The sequence below is a fragment of the Homo sapiens genome, chromosome 3 (genome assembly GCF_000001405.40).
Source record: "Homo sapiens chromosome 3, GRCh38.p14 Primary Assembly".
Lineage (NCBI taxonomy): Eukaryota > Metazoa > Chordata > Mammalia > Primates > Hominidae > Homo > Homo sapiens.
The window spans coordinates 40,697,928-40,722,496 of record NC_000003.12 but is presented as its reverse complement, the minus strand read 5'-3'; the positions used below and the strand labels follow the sequence as shown (position 1 = coordinate 40,722,496).

The 24,569-nt window shown below is 41.4% G+C and overlaps 2 long non-coding RNA genes and 1 pseudogene across 2 annotated transcripts in view, besides 1 other annotated feature; 2 read left to right on the top strand and 1 right to left on the bottom strand.

The window, feature by feature from the left end:
• The window catches only part of LOC105377043 (uncharacterized), a 191,504-nt gene extending 188,866 nt beyond the window's left edge, over positions 1-2,638 (bottom strand). The window contains exon 1 of the long non-coding RNA XR_007095886.1: positions 2,582-2,638. This is a non-coding gene — a long non-coding RNA (uncharacterized LOC105377043). The remainder of the gene's footprint in view (positions 1-2,581) is intronic.
• LOC124909370 (uncharacterized) lies at positions 1,496-5,119 on the top strand. The gene is made up of 2 exons (XR_007095888.1): positions 1,496-1,745; positions 4,908-5,119. It is a non-coding gene; the product is annotated as an uncharacterized LOC124909370 (long non-coding RNA).
• Positions 8,375-8,434: a silencer, noted in NCBI's record as "silent region_14234". NCBI's record gives its function as "represses an Ori minimal core promoter by ATAC-STARR-seq in GM12878 lymphoblastoid cells {active_cell/tissue: GM12878}" and the evidence as "EXISTENCE:reporter gene assay evidence [ECO:0000049][PMID:35858748]".
• Positions 23,062-24,248, top strand: HMGN2P24 (high mobility group nucleosomal binding domain 2 pseudogene 24; annotated as a pseudogene).

Sequence of the window (24,569 nt, the reverse complement as noted above, 5' to 3'; positions counted from 1 at the left end):
GCTGTCCACCCAGTAGCAGGGTCCTTCTCACTCAGTGAGCACCCCTGGGACCCTGGCACCAGCCTCTTCAATGGGATACTGCTATCCCTATACAAGCTCCAGCAGAGAAGGATATAAGTGAATCACTTCTGTCGTGACTGCTCAGCTCTTAATTCCTGAAACTCCGCCAGCCCTGGCTTATCAAAGTCCCAGTTTCTTCTTGCCCAGCCTTTGGTTTTCAGGCAGGACCTACCTTCTACCATAAGAAGGTCAATTTCAGAGCAATTCACTGATGGCTGTGTAGAGATCCAGCCAAACAATAATGTACATGGCTCTGCCTCCTCACTGGGAAGCAAGAGGAGGAGTCTCATAACATATGTACCGTTGTTTCTATAATATAATTTAAAAAGCTGGTGGGAATTCCATTTAGCCACCTCAGCACTGTTCACTCAATGGTTCTCAAATATAATGTGCATAAGAAACACCCTGATGTTTCACAAAATGCATATGCCTAGGAAACAAATGACAATGTCAAATGGAGTAATTAGGGAGCATTTAATGAGAACTATTTATAAAAGTGCAGGAAAAACTAAGAAAAACACAAAATATGGTATAAGAGTGGAAGCTGTTATCATCCCTATGTCTCAAGGACCAAGGAAGGAAACCAGGAGAGAAGAGTTATCAGAGACACCTGCCTAAAAGAGCTGTGGCCTTGGGTAGAGGGACAAAGCAAAAGAAAGCCAGGGCAGTAAGCACCGGGACCTCACTCTCCTCCTGTCTCTACTGATGCCCCTCGGCCAAACCCAACCAGAAGCCAGAGAGCAAGGAAGTCCCTTGATGCAGCCCATTCAGTCCACACAAGCCAGCCACCCAGGCCCAGGCTAGGGTAGAGAAGTGTGGAAAGTGGATCTGAAGAGACAAATAGAAAACATCTAACCCATACTGCATACAGACAAAGAGTGGTTACCAATCTGCTGGCTTCACTGGATTGTCTGGTAAATTCTAGATGCTGTGGTTTAATGGCAATATTGGCAAACTGGAGATGAATTAGATAAGGTGATAACAGTGCTGAAAGTTAAGCCATTTTAAGAATGACTTTATTATAACACAAATCAGAATATTGAGTCTGGAGACCACAAGATTTGAGAGGAATAACCATAGCTGTGTGGTTTAAACTGTTTGATCTGATTTGACCCGTTTTGATAGGTTTAACTGGTTTGAACTGCTCCACAAATGCATGTCAAATCTTTACTTTTTCTGATTAATTACTTAAGTAGACACAAACATTATTAACATTTAATTCAGTATATTCCCCTTGAGGCTTCGCAGATGCCCACACTGGATTCCCAGGGGGGTTACTCAGTTACAAAGGAGTCAGCCTTCCCTGATGCAAACGGGAATCCCAGTCACAAAACAGTCAGCCTTCCCTGATGCTGCAGAGAGGGAACTGGAGTCTGGGTATCCCATGGCAACCACTGTTTCTCACTGCAACAGACTATGGCTGTTAGAGCTTAGACCCACACTATCCCATGGGTGCTCATCCACAGGGATGATCCCTATGCAAGTATAGAGGCTTGCAAGCTTGGGCACCAAGGTAGTAACTCTCTTTTAGTCCACACGCACACCTCCAGTCTCTTCCCCAGGGTGGAAACAGGCCACAAGCTGGCCCCATTAGTGCCCAGGCAGGTCTGGTTCCAGGCCCTCATGCAGACTGCGAACCACTGTCTCCACTTCTCCATCTCCGCCACCTCTCTGGCTGCCCATAGGTAAGGCTGCCTTATTTTCAGACCTTTAAAATGTAATACATCTTGAAAACATGCTTCTCCCTTAACAACTGAGGCTACTTTCCCTACACATAGCCTTTGGGGAAAGCTACCCCCAGGGGCATCAAAGTGGTTTCTAATGAAGCTAGAAACTGTGACATGTGACATAGAAGATAACGTCCTCTCACTAAAGAAAACAGAGCAAAGTGCAATCTGTAGTAAGGTGCCTTGTTGGCGACACATCTGTCCACAGAGCCCCCTACACACATTCACAGAATAATGTCATGAGGGTCCTCATATTTTGGAGCCACAGGAGCAGAAGCTTCAAGAAGTAAAAGGTAAAAGGTGACAGATTTCCATTCAACACCAGAAAGAAATGCATAACGATTAAAGCTGTTTCAGAAAACCGGGCCTTAGTGACTTTGGGAATTTTGCCTATCATATATGTTAAGAGGGGTGGATTCATACAGGTGCGCACCAAGTCAATTCTTGCCTCCAGAGAATTTGTCTGAGGGGCATAAGGCAGAGTGAGAGACTGAGGCAAGTTTTAGAGTAGGACTGAAAGTGTATTAAAAGTTTTAGAGCAGGAATGAAAGAAAGTCAGGTACATTTGGAAGAGAGCCAAGTGGTTGACCTGAGAGATCCAAGAGCTCCATCTAGCCCTCGATTTGGGGAATCATTGGCATGATTCCAGGGTTTGCGTTTCTTCTCCCCTGATTCTTCCCTGGGGGTGGGCTGGCCACATGCACAGTGGCCTGACAGCACTTGGGATGAGCCGCATGTGCAGTATGTTTACTAAAGTTGAGTGCATGCCCATTTGAGGTGTTTTTTTCCCTTACCAGCTTAGCGTTTCCAGAAGAAGGTCATACACCAGTTAAACTCCGCCATTTTGCCTCTTAGTGCGCATGCTTGAGCCCACTTGCCCAGCTCCTGAAATCTTACTGGGAAGCTGCTTATCACCAGTTTCAGGTGTTTTCTATCTATTGGGAGACCGCCGTTCCCTGGCGCCAGCTGTGGCCAATTATTATTTTAGAGAGCTAGTTTAACAACTACCTGACCATCACCTGACGGTTGCCTGACATTCTTTGGATAGTGGGGAGGCCCTCTCCTGCCCTGCTCATGTCTGCTTCGCTACCTACTCTAACATATGTATCACAAACTAAGGGGAGGAGATGGTTTACTGAACAAATGGTGTTGAGGAAAATGGCTGTTTTTGAAGGCGATAAAAAGTTATATCTAATCTAGACTTCACAATAAATAAAAATTAAGATGTGTGAAATATACACTAAATATTTTTAAAAGGACATAAACATCTAAATGTTAAAAAATGATATTTAAGTTATTTCAGGATGAGAAGGAGTTTCTGTGAATAAATATAACAAAAGATCTCATGTAGAAAGGTTTAACTACATAAAATTTAAAATATCTACTCTAAGTTTTGTAACATATTTTATTGTTTATCTATCCCTTGTTGGAGGCAGGGTCTGTATAGACACCAAGGACCTTAACCAGCTCTCTTTTTCTCTCACACATAACAAAACAATAACAAAAGGAAAATTATAAACCAGGAAAGAAATATGAAAATAAATGTAACAAACAAAGGTTATAATTTAAGTCATGTTAAACTCTTTTAAATTAATCTTGAAAACATCACACCAATAGGAAAAACATGAGCAAAGGAAATGTAGTGTTAAATCACAGAAGGATGAATATAAATGACCAATATAAGCATATGAAAAAATACATTCAACTTTTCTGTATCAAAGATACAGAAAACAAAACAATGATGAGATGTCATTTTTCAATTATGAAACTGACAGGTTTGTAAAATGAGGAAGTAGGCCAAGTTGCACCAAGAGAGGCTCTCTTATTTAAGAAAAAAAAGGCTTAGTTTTGCTGTAAGCTCCCTGTCCCTCAAATAGATTAAAGAGAAGCTGGCTACCAACCCTCAGAGATGTGGCAGGGAGGATTCTAGGCTAGGGGAGAGGTTAGGGCCAGTAAGCGCAAGCTTTCCTCTGCTTCTCTGGCTTTCAGTGCTGTGTCTCAGAGCTGGATTCCCACATAGCTGACATGAAAGCAGAGACTTTCCAAAAAACAGGCTCTCCCAGACCTCACTTTCTATCTTTTCTTAGCTTAATGAATCCATTGCTTATAGGTAGAAGCTTGTCCTCAAAGCACTAGCATATGGGTGGATGTGTTGAAGATCTAATTAAGGACAGGGTCCAGTTGTCCAAGGTTCTGTGATATAATGTATACCAAAAAAAAAAGTCTGCCTATGTTCTCTCAGTCCAGCCCTTTTGTGAGTAATGACTTAGCACATGTGGCCTAGCAAGAGGGTGCCCAGGAACAAGCCCAGTCAACCTGGCATGGTGTGAGGCAGCTTCCTGCATTCCTCCAAGGAAGCAATCTCAGTACATGGCAGCTATTGCTGCAAACCAGAAACCAGTACCAGCAGGTTCAGTATGGAATATTGATCCATAATTACGCTTTACTTAAAAGATAAAATGAGTCTTTCTCCCTCTCTCCCCACCCTGTTTCTCCCTCTCCCCTTTGCCCTCCCCATCTCCTCCCCACCCCTTTTTTTGTCTCTGTCTCTCTGTCAATGTACACTAATCTCTATCACATACACCAGTAAGTATGTCAGGCTGAAAACATTCCAAATTGTGCAGCTCTCATTGATTCTCTTCTAGGCCATCACTGAACCATGGTGGCTAGCATGATTCACTTCCATGCTCATCCCCAATAATGTTAAACTTCTCCCCTCAACCTCAAGGTCGATTTCACTCTTTGACTGCATCTAAAAATGTTATGATTTTAAATGTCCTAAAAATTAGCTCTGTCTTCCAGCCTCCAGGGAGCAATGGTTAGTGAGTGCCTTGACTAAGGTGGATTTGCTATTTTAAAAAAAGAAAGAAAAGAAAAAGAAATTAGCTGCCACCTTGGCTACAGTGCAAATGCCAGTCCCTGCAGGATTCCCCTTTTCCAACCTCCCCACCACAAGAGCCAGAGGATTTTTCTTTGAGCTCCTTGACAAGTCCAAACCCCAAGAGTACTACAGACCTCAGCTGGGTAGGGGAATGCTGTGGCTGTCTATCCCCTGTTAGGGCGGGGTCTGTATTAACACTGGGGACCTTAGCCAGCTGCCTTTCTCTCTCTCATACTCAGCCTCCAGGTCCACTTGTGTTAAAAGTGTGTCAATCAGCAGACTCCAGGATTCCCATACAACAGAGCCAGTCTGCAGTGCTACCCAACTTCTTGCAGCAATCAAGACCTGGTCAAGATGTTTAGAGGCCTTAAACACTGAGACTGTTAAGATGTCACCCTAGTACGTATCTCAAATAAAACTACTACACAATAAAATATGTTAGAAAATTTAATGAAGTTGCCACTTTTTTGTAACTTCTTGTTTTTTTTAAAACAACAACAAAAAAGATGTTCTATTATTAAACCTTCATAAGTTGTTGTTATTAAATTGTTAGTATATTGTTGGACTAAACTCAACTAGGTTAAGATATATTTTCTACTAATGTGCTCTTGAATTTGTTGTATTTAGGGTTTTTTGTTTCAGTATAAGTGAGATTGAACCATGACTTTCTTTTTTGTGCAACTTTGTGGGGATTGATATGAATATTATGCTTGCTTCATGAAAAGCATTTGGAAGTTTTTCTCCTTTTTTAAATGCCTTGAAACAGTTTAAATAACACTGAAATAATTTCTTCTTAAAAGGTTTGGAATAATTTCTCTTGAAATCATGTGGGCCTGGTGCTTTTTGAAGGGCAACTCTTTGACAACTTCTCCATTTCTTTGTAGTACTTGGCTTATTAAAATTCTCTAACTTTTCTTAAGTCAATTTTTGTAAAGTATGTTTTCCTAGAACATTATCCATTTCATCTAAGTGTTCAGATATATTTACATAGAGTTGAGCAAAGTAATCCCTTGTGATTCTTTTAATTTCCTCTATATCTGTTTTATTTTCACTTTAACATTTTTTTAAATTTTGTGCTTTTGTACTCTTCCACATTTTTCTGGATTAAGATAGCAAATGCTTTATCTGGTTCATGGTTTTGCCAAAGAATCCAAACCTGGGTATGTAATTTGTTTTATTATTCTGTTTTGTAATTCATTATTTCTCCTTTCATGGTATTCATTCCTTCTACTTTTCTTAGGTTTATTTTGTTGCTATTTTTCTAACTTACTGAGTTAGATGCTTAATTCATTTATTTTAATGCTCTCCTTTTTTATTGAAACACATATTTAAGGGAAGAAGTTTCCTCTGTATACCAATTTAGTTATATTCCATATATGATATATATTTTTTCATTTCTGTTATTTAGATTTTCTAAAATGTGTTTGGAAAGAGGAAGAAATCTTGCTTTTATGATGCTATTTTCAAATTTTCTCTCTTTTAAACTACATTATACATTTCCATTACATTATTCTTCCACTGGACCTGCTCTTCTGAAACAGGTCTTTGCTTGAAAGTATCTGGGGCAGATATCAAGAAAGAAGCTTTCTAAAACCATCACACTATTTTCATCTCAGTCTTCCAATGATGGTAAATAGAAGGGACAGGTAGACCCTGGAGGGGTAGTGGTGTGGGAGTGCCCCTCTGTCATTCTTCCCTTCTTTCTCTTTTCCCTCCCCTGCCCCCTACTTCCATCCCCAAATCCCTCCCTCCATGATATCTCAGTGAGCAAGGAAATGTGGAGCAGACCATGGAAACCTTGACCTTGGGAGTGAACTGGTTGTGTTAGAAGCTGCTCTACTTAAAACCATGTGGGGGCTTCTGGTACATTCATTCTTTCCCTTTTGTTGTCTCTCTGATATTCAGTAGATCCTCAAAATTCTAGCCAGCATCAGTTACTCTAAGGAAATTAATTCATCTAGTCACTGAGTCAATAAATATTTATTGAAGATTTACCACATTCTGGCCCTATGCTGAGCACTGGGGATTCAGGGATGAGCAAGACAGACACAGCTTCTCCTTGCAGGGCTGACAGCTACAGGGCTTACTGCAGCAGGAGCTGTGGGACTTCTCTAAAGTGGTGGTGATGTGTTGTGTAGCAAAAGCACTCTTCTTATTTGGACTCTATAATTATCTAGTGGGTAGGCTACATGACTATAAGGAGGATGAGGCTCCCTAGCACCATCCTTGGCACAGGGTGCCAAGGTAGTGTTGTGATTTTGACAGAGAAAGTACAAGATGCAATGAAAGCAGATAGGAGATGCATTTAATCTGTGGTGGGCAGGGCCTCGGAAGGCTTCAGGAGGAAGTGTCATTTCAGAGGAGACTTGAAGGATGATTAAGAGAGTGAACCACACAAAGTGATGGGAAAGGATGACCCAGGATCAGGGAATCCCACATGAGAAAGCCTAGAAGTGAGGGGGACCATAAGGTGAGCTTGAAGGAATAAAAGACTTTCAGATGATGTAACCATGAGAAACAAGGCAGGAGCTTCCTAAGTTCCCCTAATAAGTTGTCTCCTAGGTGGAGAGAAAGGAGTGTGTGGGGAGGCTGGTCGTGAGTGGAAAGGGAAGAAAGGGAGGGAGGAATTCCCAAGAGGACATGGAAACTCAGGGAGTAAGAAGAAGAAGGGGCTTAGAGTGATGAATCATGCTTCATATCTAGAATGAGGAAGTAAAAACAAAACAAGGAGATGCCGCTGAGAAAAAGCAAAATAAAACAAGCCAAATTGTGATGCTGCCTGTTTGTGGAGGCGTCGAAGCTGCTGGTGATCCCGAACGTATGACTTAAAACATGCTCAAACTGGTCTACCTGAGCCTGGGAAACCCTGACGGATTCCCCAGGAGACCTGAAGGTGGAGATAGGGTGCCTGGGGCTGGTAATTTTTTTTTCACCTCCCCCTTTTTCCCTCATCTGACTCAGTTAAAGCTGGAAGTGGTGTCTGAGAAATCAGGTCGGCCAGAACTCGTGTTTCTGCCACAGCCTGTGGAGGAGGATCTGAGGCTCGCTGCTCAATTTAGAAGAAAATGCCTGTGATCAGTGATGTTCCTGGCCCACCTGACAGGTCACTGGCAAATGGGCAGTGGTTGTGAGTGAGTTGGTTTGGGCTGTGCCTGTTGGTTAGGCCCTTTCAAAGAGTCGTATAGCCACAACAGAGGGCAAATTGCTAAAAAGTCATGTGTTCCACAGGAAAAGAGCCAAGCTATTCACTCAGGTGCCTCAGTACCACTGTTCCCAATTATGTGTTTGAAATCTCAGGATCTTGGAACTCTAGCTCTGTAAACCCACAGTGTGAGATCGGGGAAGAGAGGCTGGGGAGCCGTGGTCATGCCGTGAGTTGGCAACATGAGGAACAGCAGTAGAAGAGCCGGCTGGGGTATAGCAATGTTTCCAAAAAAGTGTGTCCACTTGAGATGAGCATGATGATTTTTTTAGGTAGCACACTGAAAAAAAAAAAAGGAAAATAATAGTATATTTATTTTGATGCACATTTGGAAATATTAGCACATAAATCACACAACTTCACTTGTTAGGGTAAGGCTAAAGTAAGTACTCAAGTTAGAATGTAGGTCGATTTAGAGAAAAATGTTAAATACTAGTACACAGAGGCAAGCATCGTGAGCATGAAGCACAAATGTGGAAGTGGGGGAAATTGGAGACAGTCAACAGACATTTATAGAATGACAAGCCTGTCCCAGGTGCTGTCTCAGGAAATGGACCTCGGTGGTGAGAGGAAACCATGCCTCTGCCTTTAAGTGGTTTATGTTCTGGTGGGGAGCCACAGGCGTTAAATACCTAAGCAAATAAGTTGGTGCCAGGTCCTGGGGAGTATACAAATGGAGGTGACAGGCTGGGCAGAAAGTGGCTGGGAGAAGGTCATCAGCTCAGGGCATGGGGAGGCCTCGCTAACGAAGGGATGCTTCCCTGGGAACTTAAGTAATGAGGATGAAATGGCCAGTTGGCGAACTGGAGCAAGAGCTTTCCAGGGGGATGAAGAGCAAGTGCCAAGGCCCTGGAGGCGGAGGTGCTTGGTGTGATTATGCATAGAAAGGAACCCAGAGTGAGGGATGCGAGGAGGAAAAGGGCCCAGGGTGGAGAAGATGGTTAGAAGGATAGGAGACAAGGTCACACAGGTTAGTGACACTGAGCTTTTTATTGTACTTGACTTCATTTGACTTAAGTTTAAATAGTGACATGTGGCTTCTGGCTGCCCTGTTGGACAGTGCAGAGCTAGAGTGTACACTGAGAGTGCCAAGAACTTCAGGAAGTGTTTCAGGTCTCATGAGCCAAGCTGTTTCAAGGTCTGAACTCTGTCTGCCAATGTGGTTATATAACATCCCACACTTGTCTGAGAGTGTGGACCAGCAGGCAGGGCACTCACCTGTCACTCCCTGTCCTTAGCCCTCAGGGAAGAGAGTTCCAGAAAGGAATGGAAACCTCAGGGGGTATGAGGGAGGCTGCATGGAGAGACCATCTTAGTAAAGGACTGTGGGGACCCTGACCATGTAGGGAGGCTTTGGGGGAATGTTTTCTGCTGCTACCAAGAAATGTCAGAAAATCCCACCAAGGGCAGCTCTGCTTTCTGGACTCAGACTTGGCACTCCCTTGTTATAAGCCCACTCCCCCCGGGGCAGGTTCACCAAGTGCTCTCTCCCCAGGCCTCTGGAGGTGATGTGAGGAGTCCTCTGAGGGTCAGAGAGGAAATGCTGTGGCCAGGGTCACACAGCACTAAGCAGTGAGCACTGAGACAGGACCCACGGTTGGGTCTGTGGGCACACCCAGTGCCGCTCTCTCTCACCGAATCTATCTAGGTTCCTCCCACTGTCCACGTGCAAGATCACGGAAAACACTCAGCACTGAGAAGCATTCAAAAGCATTCCTTTTTATTTCATTTTACTTTGCAAAGGAGTATATAGATGCAGCTTTTTACTCTCCTTCTTCCTCCTGGATCCATCTGCCAGGCTCCCAGGCAAACCTCCTGTCTCCAGCACAAGTGCAGCTGAGGTCCCATGCTCCACCAAGGACTCTGAGGGGTCAGTGGCCTCTGAACATTCAATTCAGACACAGGTGTGATTGATGACTTATGACAAATTAGTCTCAGCTATAAGCAAAGCCATGTGCTTCCCAGGCCCACTGAGAGAGGAGCAATGTAGCCCATTCAATCCCTCCTCGCCTCAGTTTCTCCCTGTGAAATGAGAGGACTAACATGTCCCTTGGTTGGGTTTGGGCTCAAACCTGATCCCACGCTTCCAGGTGTAGCCCTTGGGCCAGTCACTGCCCCGGCATCAACCCCCATCCCTAAGTTCCCTCAACAGGTCCTGAGCAGCAAGTGGGAAGATGAAAACAGCACAAGCACAAGCAAAGCCACCTGCAAAGAGCCATGTGGAAATGAGTGGCCCTTCTCCCAGAATCTGGTTTTATTTATTTTTTGGTTTTTGTTTTGAGACAGGGTCTCACTGTTTCACCCAGGCTGGAGTGCAGCAGCACAATCATGGCCCACTGCAGCCTCTACCTCCCAGGCTCAAACGATCCTCCCAACTCAGCCTCCTGAGTAGCTGGAACTACAGGTGTGCACCACCACACCTGACTAATTTTTGTATTTTTTGTAGAAACAAGGTTTCACCATGTTGTCCAGGCTGGTCTCAAACTCCTGGGCTCAGCCACCTGCCTCAGCCTCCAAACATGCTGGGATTACAGGCATGAGCCACCACATAATCTAGTTTTGTTTGACTCACACTGTTTCTCCAGCCACCATGATATTTTTGCAGCAGTTTAGTGGTTCAAGACTGTGAACCACTGGGGCAGCCAGATGGCTGCATTGAACCACAGCTTGCTAATTACTAGCAGTGGGGTCTCGGCGGCAGCTCACCCCATGTGTTCCTCACTTTCCTTCCCTGTAAAATAGGTCAGTTACGGAACCATCTCTGGGTCATGGTGAGGATTCAGTGAGTTAATACACATGAAGGGCTACAAACTTTACTTGGCAACAATAATCCCTGCCATTAGAGGATGGCCACATTGTGACCCTTGGAGTGTATGTGGGGAGAGTGTGGGGGTAGAGACCAGGGAGGCATGCAAGGTGCTGGGAATACACTGTTTCCTGATCTGGGTGCTAGTCTCACAGGTGTATTCCACTTGTGAAAATTCATCAAGTTGTATGCTGAATGTTCTCACTTATACGTGAGAGCTAAACATTTGGCCACATGCAGGTACAGAGTGGAAAGATAGATAACAGAGACTGGGAAGGGTGAGTAGGGGTAGAGGAAAGGGGGAGGATGAAGAGAAGTGGGCGAAAGGGTACAAACATACAGTAAGATAGAAGGAATAAATTCAATGTTTAATAGCACAGTAGAGTGAATACACTTAACAAAAATGTATTATACTCAGGTAATGGACACCCTAAATATCCTGACTTAATCACTACATAGTGTATACAAGTAAAAAAATTTCTCATGTACCCTATAAATTTGTAAAAATAAAAACAACAAAAGAGATCGAGACCATCCTGGCTAACATGGTAAAACCCTGTCTCCACTAAAAATACAAAAAAATTAGCCAAGCGTGGTGGCGGGCACCTGTAGTCCTAGCTACTTGGGAGGCTGAGGCAGGAGAATGGTGTGAACCTGGGAGGCAGAGCTTGCAGTGAGCCGAGATCGTGCCACTGCACTCCAGCCTGGGTGACAGAGCGAGACTCCGTCTCAAAAAAAAAAAAAAAAAAAATTAAAACTAAAAAAATGAAAATCTACGAGAGGCAAATAAAAAAAGTGTGTTAAAGATATGTGCACTTTATCTGTATCACGCCTCTTCATTTTTAAAACTGCCTAGGAATTAGTAAAATTCCTAGGAAAACTCCAGACTGTCAAAGACTGTGGAATTGGTGGGGTCCAAGCCAGATCTCCAAGGGTAAAGGGCTTTCTAGGTTGTCTGGGTTGTAGGGAAAATACATAGAATTACACTGAGGTATAGATGTGATGTGAGGAGAGGACAGGGCTGGCAAATAGGAAGGCCCAGAGAAGGGGAGAGGAATCTAGAGTCTTAGGAGGGTGGATGGTAGGGGTAGGGCTGTGGATTCCCCTGCCCTGCCCTTGGGAACCCTTTATGACTACTCCATTGCTCTCTGATGTGACCTTGGAACCCTTTAGAACACAAAAGACATCTCAGTGTCCATTGCCTAAGGCAGCAGTTAGCTTCAGCCTTCAGATGAGGGACAACCATCTCCTTGACGGAGCCATGAGGCATCAATTCCATCATGGAACTTCTTCAGGGGTTTGGACTCCTCCCTTTATCTTTCTTTCTATGGAGGAGCCAGTTGCTACCAGTATTCAGATTAAAGGACCCATCAATCAGGTAAGGGAGCCAAGCCCAGCCCCAACTGAGGTCACTTTTGTTTTCCTGTTCCTCTTCCCACTTTTCTAAATTAATTATTTTAGTTCAAAGAGACATAATTAAGACAGGAAATAGGAAAAAAAAATATATCATCCCAAACACAGGGATTCAGTGGTCAAGAACTGAATTGTTATGGGAGGTCAGGATCCCTGCAAGAGAACAACATTCATGCTATCTTCCTGTCACAGACGTCTGAGTCAAGCCTTTCCTCTGGGTTAGGGCCTTTGTGGAAAGTGGTTCTAAGCCTCTGATCTGATGATAGAACCTCACCCATCCTCAGGGAACAGAATCTTCACCCATGGAACATCAAGCAAATGGAGGTCTAAAACTCCATGCTGTCTTCATCTGAGGATTACAAACTGAAATACCAATTGAGGATACAGTACGAAAAACTTTTCTTTCCGTTTTTCAGTGAAGAAAACATACAAAATATGTTTATCACTTTAAAAGTGAATAACACGAAAAAATCCACAACTCTCTGTTAATTGAATGTAGAATGTCATGTTATCCATGCATTATAAATGTTTGCAGCTTGTCTAATAAAAGGAGTGAGACGGATGCTAGCCTTTCACTCTAGCCTTTCAGCATCAATGCATAGAAGCAAATGGGAACATTCAAAGGTCAGCTTGGAGAACTTGGCCATGAAGAGCTGACGGGACACATAATCTAATTTCTTTTCATAAAAAGGTTGATTCATTTTTTTCAGTTTTCTCCTATATTTCATGATCTTATCCATCTCAGATTAGGGCTGTGGATTATCTTTCTCTGGAAACCCAGAAGGCGGTATAGTCTCTGACACTGACTGAAATTCAACACCTAAAACGACAGTGGTTGAAGAAGCAGCTGGGAATTTGGTGGGTTCAGTCTCAGTTGTCCAAAGATCTCAGAAGACCTTTGGTCCTCCAGCTCACAACCACCCCATCTAGCCTGGACTCCCAGGCCTTTGTGCCAGTCCCCACACTGTCTCAAAGATTTTCTCTTGGCAATGAGATTCAAAAGTAACGATCACTGCTGTTCAAAAGGGCTCTTCCAACTGCAGTGAGTCTTCACCCATCAGATACGCAGTTTCTGGCATGAATGCAGTCTCAGAGAAAATAATCAGGGAAACATCAGACAAAGGTTAAACAAAACCTCTCACCACTCTGAGTTTTAAGGCCAAACAATGAAGAGCTAGGGAGGAATGGACTGAGCACCCAGGAAGCTTCCCTGTGAAGGGCCTGGAGGAGGGTTTCAGACATAGCTTAGAAATAATCTATCAAGGAGCTCAAAAAGCTACTCAGGGAGACTTCTGGTTTCCAGTCCAGCACGTAAGGTGCTTAAAAGTTTCCACCCCATTCTAGCATGTAAAAAGCTGAACAAACTGAAAAATCAACAACTCTTATATCTGTCAGGGAAGTGAGGTTACAGAGCAAATTGCTGCCCCCAAAACTGGAGAAACAGGCAGATAGAGAGAATCACAACTTCCTGGAGCAGAAATGCACGAATAGAAACATTTGCAGAAACCAGTACCGGGGTAGGAAAACCTAAGCTGTAATTGACAAATTTCTGGAGGCTGAGTGTGGACAGTTCTGAGAAGACCCATTCATATGGGTGACCCTCACACTTTTGTGAGTTTTGCCTCCAGATACTCCATCAGATCCTCACAGGGAATATTGAAGAAAAATCCCCTTTTGCATCTAACACGAGGAGGGGGGAATAAATCATTTAAAAATACACCACAGCATTCTGTTCTTCTTAACAAAGCATTCTCTCTGGAGGAAATTGAGTCTAATACATTAGACTCTCTTTTACCAGAGCCAAATCTCTTTGGGCTTCATCAGAGCCTAGCACATCTGGGGGAAGGGAAACACCCTACCCTAGCCTTCTCTAGCCATCCCGTCCCTCCTAAGTGGAGAAAAAATCAAAGAAGCGTAATGAAGCTCACAGTCCAGGGGCAGAAGCCCATAAAGGACTGAGACCTAATCACAGGACTATAGAAGACACCCCCACCCCAACTCCATACCTCACCACTGGGTTACTAAGGGGTTACCAAAGTGCCTCTTACACAGTACATTGTGCCCACCTTTCAACAAAAAATTACAAGATACACTAACAGGTAAAAACGTAGTTTGCAGAGACTGAACAAGCATCAGAGTCAGATATAGCAGAAATATTGGAATGATCAGATCAAGGATTTATTTTCAACTTTTATTTTAGAATTGGGTGTACTATGCTGGTTTTTGTTACCTGGGTATATTGTATGATGCCAAGGTTTGGGGTATGAATGATATCAAAGCATAGCACCCAATAGTTAGTCTTTCAACCTTTGCCCCCTTGCCTCTGTCCCTTTCCCCTCTAGTAGTACCCAGTGTCAATTGTTGCTATCTTTATCAGACCAGAAATTTTTTAAAATTAAGATTAATATGCTAAGGGCTATAATACAAATGTAGACAACATGCCATAACAGATTGGTAATATAGGCAAAGAGATGGAAATTCTAAGAATCAAAAGAAATTCTAGAGATCAAAAAAACTAACGAATATGAAATATGCATTTGATGGGCTCATTAGTGGACTGGACATGGCTGAGGAAAACAATCTTTCAGTTTGAGGATATGATAATAGAAACTTCCAAAACCAAAGAGCAAAGAGAAAAAAAAAAAGTAGGGGAAAAACCAGCACAGAATATTCAGGAACTGTGGGGCAACTACAAAGGACGTAACATCCATGTAATGAAAAAATAACAGAAGAAAGGAACAGAAGCAATATTTTAGGAAATAATGACTGTGAATTTCCCCCATATTAATGTCAGACACCAAACTACAGATCCAGAAAGCTCAGAGAACACCTCCTAGCAGAATAAATGCCAAAAAAACTACACCTAGGTACATCATATTTAAACTTCAGAAAATCAAAGATAAAGAAAAAAATCTTGAAGAAACCATAAAGGAAAAAAAACTGACCTATAAAAGAGCAAATAAAAGAATTACATCTGATTTCTTTTTAGTAAACATGCAGGCTAGAAGACAGTTGAGTGAAATACTTAAAATGTTGAGAGAAGGGGACAAAAGGAAAAAAAACTAAAATCTATACCCTGTGAAATTACTCTTCAAAAGTGACAGAGATATAAATATTTTCTTAGGCAAACAAAAGTTGAATGTGTTGCCAATAAACCTTTCAAGAAATGTTAAACGAAGTCCTTCGGAAAGAAGGAAAATGATATAGGTCAGAAACTTAGATCTACATAAATAAATAAGTAACATCAGAGAATAAATAAGTAAAATAAAAATTTTTATTTTTCGTATTCGCAATTTATCTAACAGATGTTTGTTCAAAATAATAGCAACAATGTATTAATTATTCTTACAGATTTATGCATAAGTAAAAAAAATAATAATAGCAATATACAAGGGGTAGGAGAGAGGAAGTAGAGGTATTTTGTTATAAGTTACTTGCACAATCTGTGAAGTGGTATAGTGTTATTTGAGAATGGACTTGGGTTTCTTGTGCATGTATACTGCAAACTCTAAGGCAGTAACTGAAAAAAAATAAAAGAAATAATTGATATGCTAGGAAAGTGAGGGAAATGAAATAATATAAAATGCTCAATTAAAACCACAAAAGGCAGAAAAAATATGGAGGATAAAAATAGAAATAAAACAAAGATAACAAATAGAAAACAGTAACAAATATTGTAGGTATTAACCCAACTATACCAATAATCACTCTAAATGTCAATGGTCTAAAAATACCAATTTAAAGAGAGAAATTGCCAGAGTGGATCAAAAACAAGACCCAACTCTGTGTTGTCTACAACAAACCCACTTTAACTATAAAGGCACATACAAAAGATGGAGAAAGATATACCATGCTAACACTAGTCAGAAGAAAGCAGGAGTGGCTATATTAATTTCAGACAGAGTAGACTTAGAGCAAGAAAACTTATGAGGAATAAAGAGGGACATAATGATAAATGGAGTCAATATGCCAAGAAGGCATAATTTTTAATGTGTATGAGCCTAACAACATAGTGTTAAAATACATAAGGCAAGAACTGATAGAACTGCAAGGAGAAGTAGATGAATCCACTATTAAAGTTGGAGACTTTAGCACTCCTTTATTAGAAATGAACAGATCTGGCCGGGGGCGGTGGCTCACTCCTGTAATCCCAGCACTTTGGGAGACCAAGGCAGGTGGATCACAAGGTCAGGAAATCGAGACCATCATGGCCAACATGGTGAAATCACGTCTCTACTAAAAATACAAAAATTAGCTTGGCGTGGTGGTGTGTGCCTGTAATCCTAGCTACTTGGGAGGCTGAGGCAGGAGAATTGCTCGAAGCAGGGAGTCAGAGGTTGCAGTTAGCCAAGATTGTGCCACTGCAGTCCAGTCTGGCAACAGAGTGAAACTCTGTCTCAAAAAAAAAAAAAAAAAAAAACAGATTCAGCAGGTAGAAAATTAGTGAAAATCAGTAAAGACATAGTTAACAGCACTATCAATCAACTGGATATAATTGACATTTATAGACTACTTCCTCCAACAACAGCAGAGTACACATTCTTCTCAAGTTTATATGGAAAGTTCACCAAGATAGACCACACTCTGGGCCATAAAACACACCTTAACAAGGTTAAAAGAATAGCATTTATGCAATGTCTGTTCTCAGACCACAATGGAATTAAATTAGAAATCAATAATAGAAAGATAGCTAGAAAATCCCAAAATACTTGGAGATTAAACAACATACTTTTAAATAATATGCAGGCCAAAAAAGAGATTTAAAAATTTTTAAATATTTTAAACTAAATGAAAATATAAACATCAAAATTTGTGGATTGCAGCAGAAGCCATGCTCAAAGGACTTTTTTTTAATGTTTTACAATAGTTTTTATAGTCAGTGTTCATTTAGATTTATAAATATGTTTACCATTTTTTCCAGTTTGCTATTTATCTTTTAACATGTTTTTATTATTTATTTTTTCCATAGGTTTTTGAGAAACAGGTGGTGTTTCGTTACATTAGTAAGTTCTTCAGTGATAATTTCTGAGATTTTGGTGCACCCATCACCCAAGCTGTGTACACTGTACCCAATGTGTAGTCTTTTCTCCCTCACCCCCTCTCACCCTTTCCCCCAAGTCCCCAAAGTCCATTGTATTATTCTTATGCTTTTGCATCCTCATAGATTAGCTCACACCTGTGAGGGAGAACATACGATGTCTGGTTTTCCATTCCTGAGCTACTTCACTTAGAATAATGGTCTCTAATTCCATTATTCCAAGTTGCTGAGAATGCCATTATTTCATTCCTTTTTATGGCCGAGTAGTATTCCAAAAGGGGGTTTATTAACTGATAACTTATGTGATCACAAGGTCCCACAATAGGCTGCAAGCTTGAGGAGCAAGGGGAGCCAGTCCAAGTCTCAAAACTGAATAACTTGGGGTCTGATGTTTAAGGACGGGAATCATCCACCACAGGAGAAAGATGTAGGCTGGGAGGCTAGGCCAGTCTTGCCTTTTCATGTTTTTCTGCCTGCTTTATATTCGCTGGCAGCTGATTAGATTGTGCCCACCAGATTAAGGGTGGGTCTGCCTTCTCCACCCACTGACTCAAATGTTAATATCCTTTGGCAACACCCTCATAGACACACCCAGGATCAATACTTTCATCCTTCAATCCAATCAAGTTGACACTCAGTATTAACTATCACAACAATCTCTTCCAAAAGATAGAAGCAGAGGGAATACTTCCTAACTCATTTTGTGAGGCCAGCATTACCGTAATACCAAAACCAGACAAAACTATTACAAGAAAAGTATAGAACAATATCTCTCTGAAACATAGATGCAAACATTCTCAAAAAAAATTAGCAAATCAAATCTAACAGTGTATAAAAAGAAGAATAAGACAACACAACCAAGTGGGATTTATTCCAGGTATGTAAGGCTGATTCAACATTTGAAAATCAATTAATGTAATCCATTACATCAACAGGCTAAAAGAAAAAAATCACGTGATTATATTGATAGGTGCAGAAAAAAACATTTGACAAAATAAAATACTCTTTTATCATAAAACTCTCAGGAAACTAAGAATAAAAGGGGAACTTTCTCAACTTAATAGGGAATATCTGTTTTAAAAACTTACAGCTAGATAGCATGCTTAATGGTGACAAACTCAAAGCTTTCCTGCCAAGATGAGAAGCAAGGCAAGGATATTCCCTCTCTCCACTGCTTTCCAACATTGTACTGGAAGCCCCAACTAAAGCAATTAGACAAGAAAGGGAAATAAAAGGTATACAGATTGGGAGAAAAAAATAAAACTGTCTTTGTTCACAGATGACATAATCATCTATGTAGAAAATCCAAAAGAATCAAGTAAACTCCTGGACCTAATAAGCCACTATAACAAAGTTGCAAGATACATGATTAAGAAACAAAACTCAACTACTTTTCTATATACTATCAATGAACAAATGGAATTTCAAATAAAAACACATTACCATTTATATTAACACTCCCCAAAATGAAATTCTTAGGTATAAATCTAACAAAACGTGTACAAAATCTATATAAGAAAAACTTTAAAATTCTGTTGAAATAAATCAAAGAACAAAATAAGTAGAGAGATAGTCTATGTTCATGAATAGGAGGACTCTTTATTGTTATTGTCAGTCCTTCCCAACTTGATCTATAGAGTCAATGCCATTCCAATTAAAATCCCAACAAGTTATTATGTGAATATTGACAAAGTAATTCTAAAGTTTATGTGGAAAAGCAAAAGACCCAGAATATCTAATGTAATCCTGAAGAACAACAAAATTGGAGTACTGACACTACTCTAAGACTTACTATAAAGGTACAGTAATAAAGACAGTGTGGTACTGATGAAAGAATAAATAGATCAATGGAACAAAATAGGTAGCCCATAAATATACCTAGATAAATACAGTCAACTAATGTTTGACAAAAGGGCAAAGGCAATACAATGAAGAAAAGATAGTTTTTTCAACAAATGGTGTTGGAATAACTGGACATTTACATGCAAAAAAAAAAAAAAAGAAAAGAAAAGAATCCAAAAACGGACCTTACACTATTCACAGGTATTAACTCAAAATGGATCATAGACCTAAATGTAAAAATAAAAACTACAAAACCCCTAGAATACAACATATGAGAAAATTTAGGTGATCATTGGTTTGGTAATGACTTTTTAGATACAGCAACAAAGGAATGATGTGTGAAAGAAAGAATTAAAAACCTGAACTTCATTAAAATTAAAAACTTCTGCTTTGTATAATACAATATCAAGAAGATCAAAAGATGGGTCATAGACTGGGAGAAAACATTTGCAAAAGGCACATATGATAAAGGACTGTTCTATAAAACAAAGAACTCTTAAAACATAAATAAAGTGAATAACCCAATTAAAATATAGGCCAAAGACCTGAACAGACATCTAACCAAAGAAGATATACAGATGGCAAGTAGGCATATGAAAATATGTTCAATATCATGTCACTAGGGAATTGCAAATTAAAACAACAGTGAAATGTCACTATGCACCTATTAGAATGGCCAAAATCCAAAACAAAATCCAGAACCGGATGCTGGTGAAGATGTGGAGCAACAGGAACTCTCATTCACTGCTGGTGGGAATGCAAAATGGGACAGCCACTTTGGAAGACAGTTTGACAGATTCTTACAAAACTAAACATGCTCTTTTCATAGAATCCATTAATCGTGCTCCTTGGTATATACCCAAAAGAGTTGAAAACTTATGTCCACAAAAAAACTTACAAATAGATGTTTACAGTAGCTTTATTAATAATTACCAAAACTTAGAAGCAACCAAGATGTCCTTCACTAGGTGACTGGATCGATAAACTGTGGTACATCTGAACAATGGAATATTGTTAAGTGTTAAAAAGAAATGAGCTATCAAGCCATGAAAAGACATGGAAGAAACTTAAATGCATTATCGCTAAGTGAAAGAAGCCAACCTGAAAAGTGTACATACTGTATGACTCCAGCTATATGACATTCTGGAAAAGGCAACTATGAAAACAGCAAAGAGATTAGTGGTTGCCAGGTGTTAGAGGGGAGGAAGGGATGAACAGGCAGAATGTAGACGATTTTTAGGGCAGTGAAACTATTCCATATGATACTACAATGATGGATCCATGTCATTGTACATTTGTCCAAACCTATAGAATGTACAACACCAACAGTGAATCCTAATGAAAACTATGGACTTTGGGAGATAATAAGGTGTAAGGGTAGATTCATCAACTGTAACAAATGTACCACTGTGGTGCAGGATGTTGAGAGTGGGGGAGGCTGTGCATGTGTGGGGACAGAAGTATATGGGAACGCTCTGTAAGTCCTGTTCAATTTTGCTGTGAACTGAAAACTGCTCTTCAAAAGTTTATTACTATTTTTTAAATCTACCCAGTGAAGAGTTTGGGCACTGACTGAGAAGGAGACTGAAAGTGGCATGTGAATCACTCAGGAAATGGCTTATAATAATCCCAAGGAAGATCAGAGGCAACTGGAAAATGTCCTAGGAAGGTTTTGGACAAGAAATCAGGGCAGACCAATCAGGATTGTTTCCAAGTCAGTTGTGACTTGTTCAGGGCTTGCTGACTACTTTACACTGGCCCCTCCTGGGAAGTTCCATATGGCTTAGAAGCCAGAAATTGGACACTCTCTGTGGGTTGTAAACATTACCTGAATATCTCTTGGATTTCCTTCCTTGTTCAGGAGCTCATTGGGTCCTAGATGCCCATATTCTGTGGTTACATATGCAGCAGAGGCCTGGTCTGCCTCTCAAGGTCCTTGAATCCATAAGCATTTAGGTGGAGAAATGCCCAGTTTTGGCCTCTCCCCCTATCCATCTTTCCCTCCTCAGGCACACATGTATAAAGAGAGAACTCCAAAGCCAAGCTCACCAAGCAGTCCAGTTAAATGAGGTCATCACTCTGAATAGTCTCCCTGTTGTAGTCTCTTATCTATGAGTGTGGAAGTCCAGAGGGCCCTGATATGGTCCCCCACAGGCCTTGGCAGCCACATCCTCATGGCTTTACTGGGTGTAGCCCATGTGGCTGCTCATATGGGTTGGAGTTTTGTGCCTGAAGCTTTCCCAGGCAGGTGTTGTATGCCACTGATGACTCCACAGTTCTGACATATCAGTGATGGCCCGGCCCCCACAGCTCCACTAAGCAGTGCCCTAGTGGTGACTCTCTGTGACAGGTCCCACCCAACATCTCCACTAGGCATTGCTCTAATGGGGGATCTCTGCAGTAGCTATGTCCCTGTGACAAGTCTCTGCCTGGCCCCCCAGGCTTTCAGCAACACTCTTTGAAATCTAGGTGAAAGCTGCCATATCTCTATAGTTTTTGCATTCTATGGACCTGCAGAATCAACACCATGTGGATGCTGCGAAGGTTTATAACTTTTACCTTCCAGAATAGTGGGGCCACTTGAGCCACCACTGGGGTAGCTGAGGAGCACTGTGCTGCAGTGTAGGGAACAGAGACCCAAGGGGATCCTGGGAGGCAAGTCCGTGGAGGGCACCCTTGGGTCTGACCTCCCAGACCATTCTGTCCTCCTAGGCTGCTGGGCCTGTGATGATAGGGGCAGCCTTGAAAATCTCTGAAATGCCTTTGAAGTCCTTCTTCCATTCTTTTGATGATCTCTTCTCTCTGTACTAACCTCCTTAGCAAAAAATTGCTGGGCCACACCCTTGGTTTTCTCTCCCAAACACTTTTTTACTCTTCACATGGCCAGGCTGAGAGTTTTCCACATCTTTCCATTTTGCTTCCTTTTTGATTATAAATTCTATCTTTAAGTCATTTTTTTCCTTCTCACAGTTTAATGTGAGGGGTTAAAAGCAGCCATGCAGCAGCCTGAATGCTTTGCTGCTTAGATATTTCTTCCACCAGATATTCTAATGAATTGCTTTTAAGTTCTGCATTCCATAAAGCCCTAGGGCATGAACACAATGCACACAAGTTCTTTGCCAGTTTATAATAAAGATGGCCTTTACGCCAGTTTCTAATACCTTGTTTCTCGGTTCTTCTGAAGCCTCATAAGAATGACCTTTACTGTCCATATTTCTATCAGCATTCTGGTCAGAACCACTTAACCAATCCCTAAGGAGGTCCAAACTTTCCCTAGTCTTCTTGTCTTCTAAGCCCTCACAAGAATCTAGGCTTTTTCTAGCCTGCTCCTGCAAATTCTTCCAGCCTCCGCCCATTACTCAATTCCAAAGCCACTTCCACATTTTCAGATATTTGTTATCAGCAACAACCCCACTTCTTGGTATCAATTTTCTGTCTTAGTACATTGTCTGTTGCTTATAGCATAATACCAGAAACTAGGTAATTTATGAGAAAAAATATTTCTTCCAGCCCTGGAGCCTGGACAGTTCAAGGTCAAGGGACAACAAGTGGTGAAAACCTTGCTGGTGAGGACTCTCTGAAGAGTCCTGGGGCTGTGCAGGGCATCTCATGGTGAGGGGGATGAATGTGCTAGATTAGTTCTTTCTTTCTCATCTTATAGAGCCACCAGCCCCACTCCAATGATAACTTATTAATTCAGTAATCCGTGAATGGGTTAATCCATTCATGAGGGAAGCGACCTTTAGGTCCAATCACCTCTGAAAGGCCTTACCTGTCAAGTACTGCCACATTAAATTTCAATGTAAACTTTGGAGAAGATAAATATTCGAATCATAGTACCATCCTGGCTTGTCTGGGACTGAGGGGTTCCCTGGGAGACAAGCTTTTTTATTGTTAAAACCAGGAAAGTCCTGGATAAACTGGGATGAGTTGGTCATCCTACCAAGTGATGAGGGCGGATGTTATACCCTATGAGACTTTAGCCATGGAATAGCAATGCCATCTAAGGCAGAGAACAGAAGAGAGAAGGTCTTGAGAGAAGAGAAGGGATGAAGGGAAGAATCTCACCAAAGAAAGAGAGCATCTTCAGAAGAACAAGAGGTGAGAATGATCCCCGGACAATGAAAGCAAGTGTGTTGCTGCATCCCACGCCCAGCGCTTATGTCCCACCACCATCGTCAACAACACCGTGCCCAAGAGAAAGGCTGAAGGGGATGCTAAAGGAGATAAAGCCAAGGTGAAGGATGAACCACAGAGAAGATCCATGAGGTTTTCTGCTAAACCTGCTCCTCCAAAGCCAGAGCCCAAGCCTAAAAAGGCCCCTGCAAAGAAGGGAGAGAAGATACCCAAAGGGAAAAAGGGAAAAGCTGATGCTGGCGAGGAGGGGAATAACCCTGCAGAAAACGGAGATGCCAAAACAGACCAGGCACAGAAAGCTGAAGGTGCTGGAGGTGCCAAGTGAAGCATGTGCATTTTTTATAACTGTGTACTTTTGATGACTGTACAGCTTGAAATACTATTTTTATCAAGTTTTATAAAAATGCAGAATTTTGTTTTACTTTTTTTTTTAAAGCTATGCTATTAGCACACAGAACACTTCAGTGTTGTTTTAGGGAGAAGGGGCATATGTCACTAATAGAATGTCCCAAAAGCTGGATTGATGTGGGGAAAACACCTTTCCCTTCTAGCTTTGAGAGACTTCCTCTTGGCTCCCAGGAGGAGGGATTCCCTGACTTTGACACAGATGGTCACCTTGGCACAAAAGCCTTGTAGGATGGAAAAACAAATTTGTTTTTATGTCCTCTTCTCCCTTTCCATCCTTCAGCATAGACTTAACTCCCTTAAGCCCAGACATCTGTTGGGACCTGACCCCCAGTCATTGGTTACCAGTGTGTCAGGCAATCTGGACTTTCCAGTGATGCCACTGAGATGGCACCTGTCAAAACAGCGGTGGTTCCATTTCTAGACTGTGGATCTTCAGATAAATTCTGCCATTTTCATTTCACTTCCTGAAACTCAGGGTCGGCTTGTGAAAAGCTGTTAAACAACATGCTAAATGTGAAATGTCAACCCTCACTCTAAACTTTCCCTGTTCAGAGCATCAGACGAAAACTTCATTGGGTTTTATAGTGGCTTTCAGATTTTTGGTAGTCAATTGAAGAAGGGAGTTTAAAATTTGTTGTATACTGTTCATGATTGTCTGCCCATGTCCTGCCTGAAATACCATGATTGTTTATGGAAAGTATCTTTAATAAAGCTGGATACAGTTTGGCTTGGAAAGAAAAAGAAATAGAGCATCTTCTTTATGGTGAATTTCTATGTTAAGAAAAGGACGTTGGAAATTAATTTAGGAATTCCTTGAATGGTTGAAGATTGTAGGGAGATAGTCAAGTTGATGATTTCCAGTTTCTAAGCCAAAATCGGGAGATGATCTCAGAGGCAGTAAACTAGGAAACTCTCAAAAGTTAAATGGGGATCAGGATAATCTAAGGTCCCAGTGACTGAGAGATGTCCCTAAAGAGAATATTTCTAGCTGGTTAAAACTCAGCTTGTCAGGAGAGCCACAAAACCAGCCTCAGAGCCATCCCCTTAAAGTATTC